A 14,037-nucleotide genomic window follows, 5' to 3' on the forward strand; every position below is an offset into this window, starting at 1 on the left:
AGGCAGCAGCTTCTACCCAAAGCCTCACTTCCCTTCTCAGTAGAGTCATGGGGCTGACCTGGAAGGAGGGGATTGATGCATCCTTCAAAGGCTACAAGTTCAGGCCCTGCCACTCCTGGGGCAGAAGCCCATTTCACCAGCCAAGAGGAGGATTTTAGCTACACCTGTAGGTTGACTGCCAAGTCTCAATCCCAGGACCCCTGACACACCAACACCCACCTGGGAGGCTGAGCAAAGAATCGCTTCTTTCTGAGGCAGCCAAGTGAATAGATGGTGGGAAGCATCTGCCTGAGAAATGCATTTCTCACAGTAAATAACATTTACATGATTGTGCCTGCAAATGTCACTGTGGCATTTGCTCAGTTGAATATGGTGCCTCTGCTCTCCTGACCTTCCCCTGGCTCCAGGCCCACGATGCTCCTGGGGTCCAGGAACCCCACCTTAGGGAGGGATGCTCCCCTCAGCTCTGTCCTCTGAGGGAGAGACATTTCCTTCTTGACTTGGCAGATGTGTCTCTAGTACACATAGCATCTGGGTTTTGAGTTAATTTTGATTCAAGCGGTCCATGTGGAGACCATGACAGTGAGGATTTTCTTGATGACCCCTTACATTTTCTATTTTCTGCCTCTCATAAGCTGCAACCCTCATGCTGATAGGTCTTTTCCATCTATTTTTTCACTGTATTGCTATGGCACTGTGCCATGTGTGCAAGCTTCCCCGCTTTGTCTTGTAAATGTGCATTGTCTCCTTCCAAAGATGGTCAGCTCCCAGAAGAGAGACCATACCTGTTATTACACTGAGTCATCCGTACACATAAATATGCTGTGCTTTTATGTTTATAAGATCTTATGAGCATAAAGAAATATATTGAAGGGTACGTATTAAGGTGTTAACATAGATTATCTGGGTGAGGGGTGGCTAATATAGATGGAAGAAGGAGGAGAGTAGGAAAGGGTGGTTAAGCACAAAACTACTACACTTACCCGCCGACCTCATGGAAAAAATGTATCCCTGGCACATCAGTGTGACTTTGAGGGCAAAAAAAAGCGAAAGCCAAGATGATGAATTTTTTGATCACATTTATGTGAAAATATACATATGTATATGTGTAAAGAGAGTCACAGAGTAGAATGAAGGAAGACCAAAAGAATACTGTGCACATAATAGACATTCAGTAAATATTTGGTGAATGAATGGATGCTGTGTGTGATAATTTTGTAGATTTGAAATTTCAAGCAGATAATTACTGGCTAATATTTATATTACATCCGCAATGCTCGCAGTGTGTTCTCGTAATCAGAATCACTAACGTTCTCTGGTTCATGGGTAGGGCTATCTGTCTGAGAGAGTCCCAGTTTACTCGATGGTTACCCTGTTCACCCACCAGAACTAGCTGGGGTGGTTGCTAAAGATGGAAATGACAGGGCCTCAACCCTGCTATACTGTCTCAGCATCATGGTGGGGGAGGGAGTGGGACTTGGGAATCTGCATTTTAACAAGCATCCCAGGTGATTTTTACGCTTTTTAAAGCTTTGGCGCCATTGCTCTAGGCATTGTTAGTTGCCAAAGTGATATATTGCTTTTATAATTAACTTTATTCAGACAAGGCAAAACAAAGATTATTATTTACTATATTTAAAAAATCATGCCTCATTGTCTGACCTCCCTTTGTTTTATAACTGATATTTAAAAGACCTAATTCATGTGAGCTTTCTAGTGTGTAGACAGAACTTCAGAAGAATCCATCTAACTTGGCAGGAATCAAATACCTGAACCGAAATTAACTATCTTCTCCTGTGCCAGCTTTGTGCAGTGATCTGCCCAAGTGAAAGAATCATGGGCCTTTTGTCACCCTAAAACAAATTTCCAGAAAGAAAATGAATATATAAAACATAAAAAACCCGTGGTGAATAATATAGCCATTATACACCCAGCTTATGTTTTCTTCAAATATATTTTTTCATAAAACATTATAGGAAAAATTGTGTAGTCCCCCAACACATCCTCTTTCCCCCTTTCCCAAAGGCAACCACTTTACTGAATTTAGTGATTTTATTACCATAACATAGTATTTGTAAATTTTTACTATGTATTATATTCATACACACAATTTGGTATAACACATCTTAAACTTTATCTAAATAATATCATATGATATGCATTTCTCTGCAAATAGGTTTGTTTTGCCCAGTGATGTACCATGTTGACATATGTAACTCCAGCTCATTTTAACTGTTATTAGTATGGCCTAGAGTGATATAGCGTTGTGTAGCATAGAATGATATTAGTGTAGTGTGCTGTTGTAGGAATCTGGCACCAATTTTTTTTTCCCAAGACAGAGTATTGCTCTGTTGTCCAGCCTGGAGTGCAGTGGTGCAATCTTGGCTCACTGCAACCTCCATCTACCAGGTTCAAGCAATTCTCCCACCTCAGCCTCCCACGTAGCTAGGATTACAGGCACATGCCACCATGCCTGGCTAATTTTTGTATTTTTAGTAAAAACGAGGTTCACCATGTTGGCCAAGCCGTCTCGAACTCCTGACCTCAAGTGATTCTCTTGCCTCGGCCTCCCACAGTGCTGGGATTACAGGCGTGAGCCACCACACCCAGCCCACCATTTTTAATCTATTCTTCTTTATTAACATTTGTTTTCATTTTTATAAAACTATTATGAACACTGCTGAAATGAGCCCTTTCGGTGAATTTCTTCTGGTGTATGAGAATTTTATGCACCTAGCAATAGACTTGCCTACATGTATGTCCAGCTTTAACAAATATTACCAAATTGTTCTCTAAAGAAATTGCATCAATTCATATAACCATTTCTTGAATATTCCACCAAGTTTTCTGTGGCCTCAAATTTAAGAGCAGAAAACAGACATACAAGCCAAAGAAAGAAAATAGCTTTGAAAACTCATTTAATTATTGGTAGAAAGTACCAGACTGTTCTTTTTCCAATCTGGAAGTGTTTCTTCCACATGACCACCTGCCTTCAAATACAATCAGTGCATATTGGTTAAGCCCTGCCAACTAGGCATTTGCAAGTGGAGGTCTCAAAATACACAGGCTAAAAGACTCATCCTCTGAAGTTTAAAAACTAACTGGAAAGCTAAGACATAAACTATAGATAAAAGTTAATTATTAAATAACAATTTAACAGTAAGAGAGAAGAGATATCCTTGGGCAGTACTGATTCATCACTGAATGAGTAGAGCCTGCATTAATTCTATAGGAGTTCACAAGATGGGGAAGTCAGAGCTTATGTGATTCTGATTTGCCACAGAATGGTTTCCTAGCAACCATTACTAGCTGAGAATCAGCTCACTCTGCTGTTTTGAACCAGACCTTGCTCTGTTAGAAAAATGAGTCAAATAAATGCCAGCTTAAGGTAGAATTTCACCACGTAAAACTATATTTGAAATATATGACTTTTGAACAAAGATCTAAAGTAATTTCCTTCGCCAGAACTTAACAAAGGTGGATGTGTGGAAATGGAAGTGGCACCAGATTTAGGGACTTGGACACCTAATTTTTCTCAGGAATGGGGGTGGACAGTGGTGAGTGAAGAGGCAAAAGACAGACTCAAGGAAAGTGTGGGCGGGGAGACAACAGAACCCACATGGGAATTATGGAATTGAATAATTCCCTAGCCACACCTGGCCCAGGAAATTTTGAAGTTCTTACAGGTACAGGGTTGGGAAATTCATCATTTGCACATAATTCCTGGAGACTTGCTTCATATCACCAGCTTCTACTTTGTCCCCAGAGACATTTCTACTTCTACTTTGTCTCCAAGAGACTGTGCATCACGTGTTTCCTGACATAGAAAACACGGCCTTCACCTGATGGTTTCTTTCTAGATCTCTCACCAAGTCTTACCACCTCTGAGGATGACTGAGCGGAAGAGGAAAGACCTTGAGGCTATTGTGGGAAGCAGGCCCAGGGCAGTGCTTGTTTTGAGCTTATCAGTACCTTACCATGCATTTGTTTTCGTTTTTTAACTATTATGAACACTGCTGAAATGAACTCTTTGGGTGAATTTCTCCTGGTGTATGAGAATTTTGTAGACCTTGCCATGGACTTGTGTATGTGCATCTCCAGCACCCAGTAGAACCACACAGAGGAGGCACAATTCATCACTGATGGAAAGAGTTTCCAAAGCAAACTCTTCCAGCTCACACATGACAGAAAGGCATTTCTTGGCCCTTCCGATAGAAATGTAGATTCCCAGAGTTCAGAGTTGAAAGACACTTTACAGTTCAAATACGTAGAATCTAAAGCAACAGACAATTCTGCCTTGTGGTTTAGTTATTACATATCTGTGCCCAACATCTCCTGGAGAGGAAACTGCCTCCTACCTTTCCCCTTTGTACAAAAACAACAATCAGATACTCTCAGAGACATCGAAAAGGCATAGTTTAAAAAAAAAAACCTAGTCAATAATATTGAGAATGAGATGTAAGTTAAGAGATCCTAAAAAAATTTTTTATTATTCTTAAAATCTCGTAAGGTTTTAAGTTTAGTTGAATTAAGATTAATTAGAGTTCTATTAATAATTGGTCACTTGAGCACAATTTTCCAGTACTGTAATTTCTATTACATATTGAATTTCATGGAAAGCCTTTAGATATCAATGTTGTGCCAATACGAGAAATTTACTGATAATTTTTTTTTTTCTTTTTTTTGAGATGGAGTCTCACTGTGTCACCCAGGTGCAATGGCACGGTCTCAGCTCACTGCAACCTCTGCCTCCTGGGTACAAGTGATTCTCCAGGCTCAGCCTCCCGAGTAGGTGGGGCTATAGGTGCATACCACCATGCCTGGCTAATTTTTGTGTTTTTAGTAGAGACAGGGTTTCACTATGTTGGCCAGGCTGGTCTTGAATTCCTGACCTTGTGATCCACCCACTTTGGCCTCCCAAAGTGCTGGGATTACAGGCTTGACAAATGTTTTGTTTCAAATGGTAGACTAAGCCATCCAAGTGCATTTTAGGTGTTCCTTGACATTTTTTTTTTTTTTTGATATATCAATTTTTATGAAAAGTGATTAATTTATTTGAATGTAGTCGTAAGAGTCCAGGTCCCACCAAAGTTGGTGGGTCTCCTGGTTTCTGTCACCTGAATTCAGCCTCTGTTCTGGTGGATACAGTGGTATGTGGGGTCTGGCTCATACAAGCCTGCAAAGGTTTGTTCAATATTCAGGCATTTTGTGAACCAGAATCAGTATTCAAAATTAAATGATATAAACTCACACTTCGGCCGGGCGCGGTGGCTCACGCCTGTAATCCCAGCACTTTGGGAGGCCGAGGCGGGTGGATCATGAGGTCAGGAGATCGAGACCATCCTGGCTAACAAGGTGAAACCCCGTCTCTACTAAAAATACAAAAAATTAGCCGGGCGTGGTGGCGGGTGCCTGTAGTCCCAGCTACTCGGGAGGCTGAGGCAGGAGAATGGCGTGAACCCGGGAAGCGGAGCTTGCAGTGAGCCGAGATTGCGCCACTGCAGTCCGCAGTCCGGCCTGGGCGACAGAGCGAGACTCCGTCTCAAAAACAAACAAACAAACAAAAAAAACCTCACACTTCAATAAATTACATTTAAAACAAGGCTAATAGGTACTCAAAACTCATGACTTCCTAATGATTTGGCTGTATTTTACTATTGTCTATGCTCTTGGGTTTTCTTTGTTATGCCTGGTGAATCTGTCTGGAAATACTACTATCTGTGTTCATCTCTTCCAACACTGTGTTCAGTAACATTATGTTGATACCATGAAACCAGCTGTGGCGGGAACATTTACACTACTAAAAGTGGCAAACACTACAAATCAGGGCTTTTATGGTAGAGCTAGTTGTTAGACATTTACCAACACGCTCTTGGGGCTCATGTCACCTCTGAGGTGACACTGAATTGTGAATCCTGGCCAACATTCCTTCCACCATCTGGCTCATGTGTTCCCAGTTCTAAGCAAAATACAGTCAGAAAGAAGGTACTCTATAGTCGCTTCTTAAATTAAAAAAATGGAACACCAAAAACCTCATAAAATCCATTTCATAAGTGACTGTTAAGTATCATACTTTGTTTTGTGGGATTATGCTGAGGTTTCCACCTGAAACCTTTATTCCCGTGGCTAATGGAGACATCTCTATAAGGCTGATTTAATCCTTTCCAATACTTCTTATTTATTTTTCATAGTGGGCCCAGCCTAATAACTGTTCTGCCTGTTAGGGAGCTGCCTTCTGCAGCAGTTTTGATGCAACACCTTTCACCGACCCCTGGAGGACCAGACAGCCAGAAGTACCTTTGGTTCACACTGATTATTAGCAGCTTAGCATCTTGAGTGCTAAGCATACTCCCCTCCTGCTGGTTAAATCCCTTGTTTTTTTCCTCTTGGTTGCACTAAGATAATCGCTAAGTATTCATCACACAAGGGCAGTGTGCTAGGTTCTGCTTTGTCAGGAAAACAGGAAGTGTTTTTTTCACTAATGCTCAGAGCCAATCCAGCATGATAGGGATTTAATGAGAGACTGGAAAGAGCCCAGCAGACAGCCAGGTATATGATGAGAGACCTGTCCCCAGTCCACTGGAAGGCCAAAGCAGCTGATACTAAGGCCCCTATGACAACTGGTATTCTTGGTACATTTTTGAAGTTGCTGATATATTCTTTAAAAAAAGAAAAACAGAGATGAAAAAATGTACTGTCACTAAGAGTTTGGGGTTAAGTTTCTTGAGGCAGAATAGATATGGATCCAGCCATCCATTCCTAGATAACTAATCAAGCAGTACGAAAACCTAGGAAAAAGTCTGCTTAGGCTCTTTGAGATTCTCTTGCCTATGGACGGGGCTCTGGGGATAGCGGGTGCAGAAAGTGAAGGAGAATCCACCTGCTATTGGCTTGCTTCCTGTAGGGTAATGCTTGTCGTGGGTGATACCAAACAACGAGAGGTCATTTTCTATGAGGAGTTTATGTAACTGGATGAACCTACCATTGAAACTTTAAACAAGGCAACTGTTGGCCACCATGCCATCAGTGGTGATAGGGGTGAAGACACAGATTTCTTACCTCCAGTACATTCTACTCCCTCTAGTTTCTAAATGAGGTATCTTAGAAAAGAAAAAGGCATAAAAGGAATCACTGATAGCAACTTAGCACTTCTAGGCCCTGACTACCCTCCCCAGCTTCATACTGAGTCAGACTTCCGTGTTTCTCAGAAGGGAAAAAGAAACTAGAGCAAAGCCGCAGTCTCCTGCACAGCTCCAGGAACGTGCTACCCTTGACACCTGCTGTCCTATCCCGTTTTGGGGGGTGCGGGGTTGCCCAGCCTCTCTGTTTCTCTGCTGCTGTTTCAGAGACTCTGTAGTATGCATACTGGCTCCCCAAGAAAAGCCGAAGCAAAAGTGGTAATTTAGTGGGAGATCATATTCCACGGGTTGAGTCTCATGCTGTGTTGGTCCCATAGATGCAATTAGTTACCCGAACAGCAGAAAGCTTGTTCTGTTGTTGGCAGGTACTTTGGCACATCACCCATGGAACAGATGGCTACTTGTTCCACAAATTAGATTTCCAGATGATTGCATAAAAGTGTGTCATCCAGCCACTCCTTCCTTGCCCTTCCTGCCTCTCGGACGGATTGGAATGACTCTAGGTAAATGCACTGACCTTCTGCCAATTAGCCATTCCTCTGGGTGGGAGCACAGAGGAGACAGGGTCTGAGGGAAGCAGGGGAGTCCACTCTATGCAGACACTTAATTAATCTGCAATGTGCACATCGTCTTGCCCTTTCCCTCCCACCCGCATCCCAACTTTCCCAAATGATGTATGTACTGACCTGAAGGTACCTTGTTTCCCTTCAATCAGCCTTGATGGCCAGGTTGGAAGGGTTTTCTCTGCTCCAGGTCTACTCTTCTGAGTCATAATGCTGGGATGCAAAGAAGAATCCTGCCCCGTCGCTAAGGGGTGAAATAGGAGGGGACTTCTGCGGCAGAACTGCCCACCAGTCTCCTCCTGTCCCTGCACTCTCTTCCCAGAGGACTTACATTTACTCTAATCAGACAAGGGGAGTCCTTTCATCATGTCCCCTCTCTATCCCAATCTCATTGACCAAAAAGGGACCAATTCTGACTGGCCAGAAGCCAATCAGATTTCCTCTCTTGGAAAATGAAGACGAAGTAATCAGGCTGCTGACTGGGATCAATGCGCAGGCGCTAGAGTGATGGTCCAGGCACGCTTGCTGCAGGGGTCTCCAAATGGGCCCAGCTCCAGGGTCTGCTTGGTCACCTTCTCCTTGGATCCTCTTAATCCAGACCTTTAGAATAAATATCCCTTTATTTAAATTCGCACAAGTGGTTTCTGTAAGTAAAATGATTCCTCGCTTGTGCAACCCTTACCCTACTTTCTTCATCAAAGGACAGTCACAGAAACCATGTCACTGCCTTGACTGTAACTAGTCCCCAAATCCTGAAATGTCAGATGCCCACCACTGTGCCAGGCAAAACATTCCTGAGCCAGCGCCACAGTCAGGTTCAGTCATGAATGGAGTGGGACCGTATCTGAATGTCCCTCACCTGTGCTCTACCCACTAGCGTACATCACGTTGCTTGAGTCTTAAAACCATGACATCCGTGTTCTTTCCTCTAGTTGCCAAAGGGACCATGCTGAAGGGGCTGACCTTCTGTGTCTTGGGCTTACTCAGCGATGTTGGGGTCATCATACCAGTAGGGTTGGCTACTGATTGTACTGCTTGATTGTCTTGCCTTTACCGTAAGGTGGTTTAGAGTAGAGAGAAGCAGGGCTTCTCATGACAGAGGTAGCTTGGGACATGGATAGTCGTCCAGTGAGGAGGCAGCTGGGCTCAGGCGCAGAGCTCCTGGAGGCAAGTATAGGAAATGCCCTGTCAGCTGGAGAAGTCAGTCGTTTTGGTTTTATTTCTTTGGTTTGCTTGCTTTTGCTTATTTATTTTCTCAAAAATTTCAAACAAACCTGCCTGCCAGGGTGTGTGCCAGGAGGCCATTGGACTCAGTCTTTATAAAAGGGATGGTTATCTCTGTGGGTCTGATGAAAGTGACCTTCAACATTCCCTACATAGGATGGCAAAGGAGATCAGGAACATGACTCCTCGCCCTCATTCCAGGCTCTAGACTTAGGACCCCTGAGACCAAGCTCTTGTCTGCTCAACCAGTGACCACTGTCTGCTAGCTGCTTGGAGATAGTCCTGTATGGGCCATTGGGGCACTGGGGAGCTGCTGGTCTGCCTTAAGAGGGACTCGGGTGAAGCAGCATGTCTATTGTCATAGTGTATTTGGCCAGAGGCACACTAGGAGAGACTGACTGTGGGTGATGAACTTGTCTCCCTGTCTAGCATGTTCCTTCTGTACTTGGTGATCTGTTCCTGACCGTGAAGTCCTTGTCATGAATGTGCTAGGCCAGTTTGTTCAACCTCTTTGGCCAGAAATGTGTGAGTTTGTTGTTTACATAAGACAAGGCTGTGAGGTCTACCCGTAGGGAAGAGGCCAAGCAAACTGCAAAATGATCATTTCCAGGTGTGTCCAGTTTTAATGCAGACTCAGCTGCTTCAAGCAATCAGCCAGTACCTCTGCCACACCAGGTTAGCTGAGTTTCCAGCAGGCATCAGCCCTTGTTCCCATGGTCTGTGTTCATTTATCTTCTTTAACTTCAAGCTGACCTGTTGTTTTATTCTTCAAAACCCCTAGGACTTTATAACCAGATGATTCTAAAATTTAAATAAGTATACACTTGGAAAGTGGAGAAAATATATTAAGACTCAGACCTCGAGCAATGGCCAGGTTATAGGCTGCCACAAATCAAAAGCAGGCTTCTTGGCATTTCACATGAAGGGACTGTCTCTAATTGGGGGCAAGTGGCTTGCCCTGCTCTGCTTCTTGGGTGAGTGACCACACTTGACCTTTCTTGTTTAGGAGTGCCTTTGGCCTCAAACCTGTGACTCTTTGGAATGCTGGCAATTTAGAAAGGGTTATCTCTTCAACTCACCACCTGAAAGAAAAACAAAACCCTAATAGCATGATTAAAAAAAATACAACCAAGGCAAAAATACATCAAAGGACCAATAAATGAGTGGATCTGCAGTAGGAGTGGGGAGAGATGGTTTTGCAGGACAGTTTCCAAGCCTCAGTTCCTCCCTCTTTACAGTTCTTGTCATGCAGCGCAATGCAATTCAAGGCTGACGTCATGTCGATATCTCTGAGTCCACATGAGGCCCTTTGGTTAGGCAATACCTACTGGGTGTTTGGTTTATAAAAGGCTTGGGATTAAGACCTGAGTGAGGAGACAAAGGGATCTGAAGACGTGGTTCTTGTATTCACAGGGTTTGCGATCTCACTGGGAGGTATCCTGAGGTCGAACAACTTAGAGGTAGTTCTTGGAAATCATAAACTACGAAATACAAATGGCCATAAGGGGCAGCAGGGAGGGGAGGGACTGAAACAGTGAAAATCCACCCATCTTGTCTGGGATATTTGACAAACACATTTTGTGTTAATATACATCCAGCTAAGTCCCAGATCTAGCCACATGGATGTAGATATCATAGGGGTCTTTGATGTGCTTAGCTACTCAAATGCCTATGGCGGTTTCGCTGATCAACATCACTTGGGAATTCTCACCAGTGGGACTATTAACCAGAGCCTGGTGCTGGTTAGTCACCAGCTTCTTTTCCCTTTGAAATCTTATGAGGTGAGAATTTATTCCTTGCCTTGCTGTCATTGGATAATATCGTTACACACCTTTATATTGTCATCACCCTTTCACCAATAATGTATGTGAAGTTATATTCTTGTTTGATGTAAGGGCAATCCTATATCTGGAAGCAAGTGCATGGAAAAGAGCATATATTTGAAAGCTTATGTGCATTCACAGCATGTGAGAGGACAAATGATCCCAATAAAGTGTGAATGTTTTGATTTCCAACATTAGTCCCCATGAGGCTGTTTATTTCTTCCTATGTTCTTGGCTGGCAATCCAAGGTAACTGACACCACGTGGACATGGGCTTATTGACTCAGGCCTCACAAGCCAAGCTGCCAGGCTCCCAGGAGTTTCTGCTTACTTAACCAAGGCGAATAACGTGCTTTGCCTCTTATTTTTTAAAGTACCCTTTCATTAAAACAGCGAATCACATGCGTTTTCTAAAACTTTACTGCCGACTTTAAAAGATGGCTGGGTTTTAGGGCAGTATTTAAGGTAATAATCAAGAATCCATGGGCCATGTGGTGAAGCTGTTGAACAAATCTTGACGTATTGGTAAAGACACCCTGGGAAACTTGAAAGACATAAATCTGGGTCGAGTAAAAGGATGTGCTATATCCTACAGTGGGTATATGGCATTTATTATCCAGAAGAGGCAGATTATACCAAAGATGGGAATAACTTAAAGTTTTAGATTGGTTTTTGGGTTGAAGATCAATGAAAGGATATTGAGGAAAATGAAATTTAGATGTGTATGACTACAATGTTTCTTTTTATTATTATACTTTAAGTTTTAGGGTACATGTGCACAATATGCAGGTTAGTTACATATGTATACCTGTGCCATGCTGGTGCGCTGCACCCACTAACTCGTCATCTAGCATTAGGTATATCTCCCAATGCTATCCCTCCCCCCACCCCACAACAGTCCCTGGAGTGTGATGTTCCCCTTCCTGTGTCCATATGTTCTCATTGTTCAATTCCCACCTATGAGTGAGAATATGCGGTGTTTGGTTTTTTGTTCTTGCGATAGTTTACTGAGAAGGATGATTTCCAATTTCATCCATGTCCCTACAAAGGACATGAACTCATCATTTTTTATGGCTGCCTAGTATTCCATGGTGTATATGTGCCACATTTTCTTAATCCAGTCTATCGTTGTTGGACATTTGGGTTGGTTCCAAGTCTTTGCTATTGTGAATAGTGCCACAATAAACATACGTGTGCATGTGTCTTTATAGCAGCATGATTTATAGTCCTTTGGGTATATACCCAGTAATGGGATGGCTGGGTCACATGGTATTTCTAGTTCTAGATCCCTGAGGAATCACCACACTGACTTCCACAATGGTTGAACTAGTTTACAGTCCCACCAACAGTGTAAAAGTGTTCCTATTTCTCCACATCCTCTCCAGCACCTGTTGTTTCCTGACTTTTTAATGATTGCCATTCTAACTGGTGTGAGATGATATCTCATTGTGGTTTTGATTTGCATTTCTCTGATGGCCAGTGATGGTGAGCATTTTTTCATGTGTTTTTTGGCTGCATAAATGTCTTCTTTTGAGAAGTGTCTGTTCATGTCTTTCACCCACTTTTTGATGGGGTTGTTTGTTTTTTTCTTGTAAATTTGTTTGAGTTCATTGTAGATTCTGGATATTAGCCCTTTGTCAGATGAGTAGGTTGCGAAAATGTCCTCCCATTTTGTGGGTTGCCTGTTCACTCTGATGGTAGTTTCTTTTGCTGTGCAGAAGCTCTTTAGTTTAATTAGATCCCATTTGTCAATTTTGTCTTTTGTTGCCATTGCTTTTGGTGTTTGAGACATGAAGTCCTTGCCCATGCCTATGTCCTGAATGGTAATGCCTAGGTTTTCTTCTAGGGTTTTTATGGTTTTAGGTCTAACGTTTAAGTCTTTAATCTATCTTGAATTGATTTTTGTATAAGGTGTAAGGAAGGGATCCAGTTTCAGCTTTTTACATATGGCTAGCCAGTTTTCCCAGCACCATTTATTAAATAGGGAATCCTTTTCCCATTGCTTGTTTTTCTCAGGTTTGTCAAAGATCAGATAGTTGTAGATATGCGGCATTATTTCTCAGGGCTCTGTTCTGTTCCATTGATCTATATCTCTGTTTTGGCACCAGTACTATGCTGTTTTGGTTACTGTAGCCTTGTAGTATAGTTTGAAGTCAGGTAGTGTGATGCCTCCAGCTTTGTTCTTTTGGCTTAGGATTGACTTGGCGATGTGAGCTCTTTTTTGGTTCCATATGAACTTCAAAGTAGTTTTTACCAATTGTGTGAAGAAAGTCATTGGTAGCTTGATGGGGATGGCATTGAATCTATAAATTACCTTGGGCAGTATGGCCATTTTCACGATATTGATTCTTCCTACCCATGAGCATGGAATGTTCTTCCATTTGTTTGTATCCTCTTTTGTTTCATTGAGCAGTGGTTTGTAGTTCTCCTTGAAGAGGTCCTTCACGTCCCTTGTAAGGTGGATTCCTAGGTATTTTATTCTCTTTGAAGCATTTGTGAATGGGAGTTCACTCATGATTTGGCTCTCTGTTTGTCTGTTATTGGTGTATAAGAATGCTTGTGATTTTTGTACATTGATTTTGTATCCTGAGACTTTGCTGAAGTTGCTTATCAGCTTAAGGAGATTTTGGGCTGAGACATTGGGGTTTTCTAGATATACAATCATGTCGTCTGCAAACAGGGACAATTTGACCTCCTCTTTTCCTAATTGAATACCCTTTATTTCCTTCTCCTGCCTAATTGCCCTGGCCAGAACTTCCAACACTATGTTGAATAGGTGTGGTTAGAGAGGGCATCCCTGTCTTGTGCCAGTTTTCAAAGGGAATGCTTCCAGTATTTGCCCATTCAGTATGATATTGGCTGTGGGTTTGTCATAGATAGTTCTTATTATTTTGAGATACGTCCCATCAATACCTAATTTATTGAGAGTTTTTAGCATGAAGGGTTGTTGAATTTTGTCAAAGGCCTTTTCTGCATCTATTGAGATAATCATGTGGTTTTTGTCTTTGGTTCTGTTTATATGCTGGATTACATTTATTGATTTGCGTATATTGAACCAGCCTTGCATCCCAGGGATGAAGCCCACTTGATCATGGTGGATAAGCTTTTTGATGTGCTGCTGGATTCAGTTTTCCAGTATTTTATTGAGGATTTTTGCATCAATGTTCATCAAGGACATTGGTCTAAAATTCTCTTTTTTGGTTGTGTCTCTGCCAGGCTTTGGTATCAGGATGATGCTGGCCTCATAAAATGAGTTAGGGAGGATTCCCTCTTTTTCTATTGATTGGAA

General features: G+C 42.4%; 1 annotated feature.

The window, feature by feature from the left end:
* Positions 7,236–7,411: a silencer, noted in NCBI's record as "fragment chr14:66317337-66317512 (GRCh37/hg19 assembly coordinates)". NCBI's record gives its function as "represses an EF-1alpha promoter that drives an FKBP-Casp9 reporter gene in an ReSE screen in HepG2 liver carcinoma cells {active_cell/tissue: HepG2}" and the evidence as "EXISTENCE:reporter gene assay evidence [ECO:0000049][PMID:32094911]".

This window comes from Homo sapiens, chromosome 14 (genome assembly GCF_000001405.40).
Source record: "Homo sapiens chromosome 14, GRCh38.p14 Primary Assembly".
NCBI lineage: Eukaryota > Metazoa > Chordata > Mammalia > Primates > Hominidae > Homo > Homo sapiens.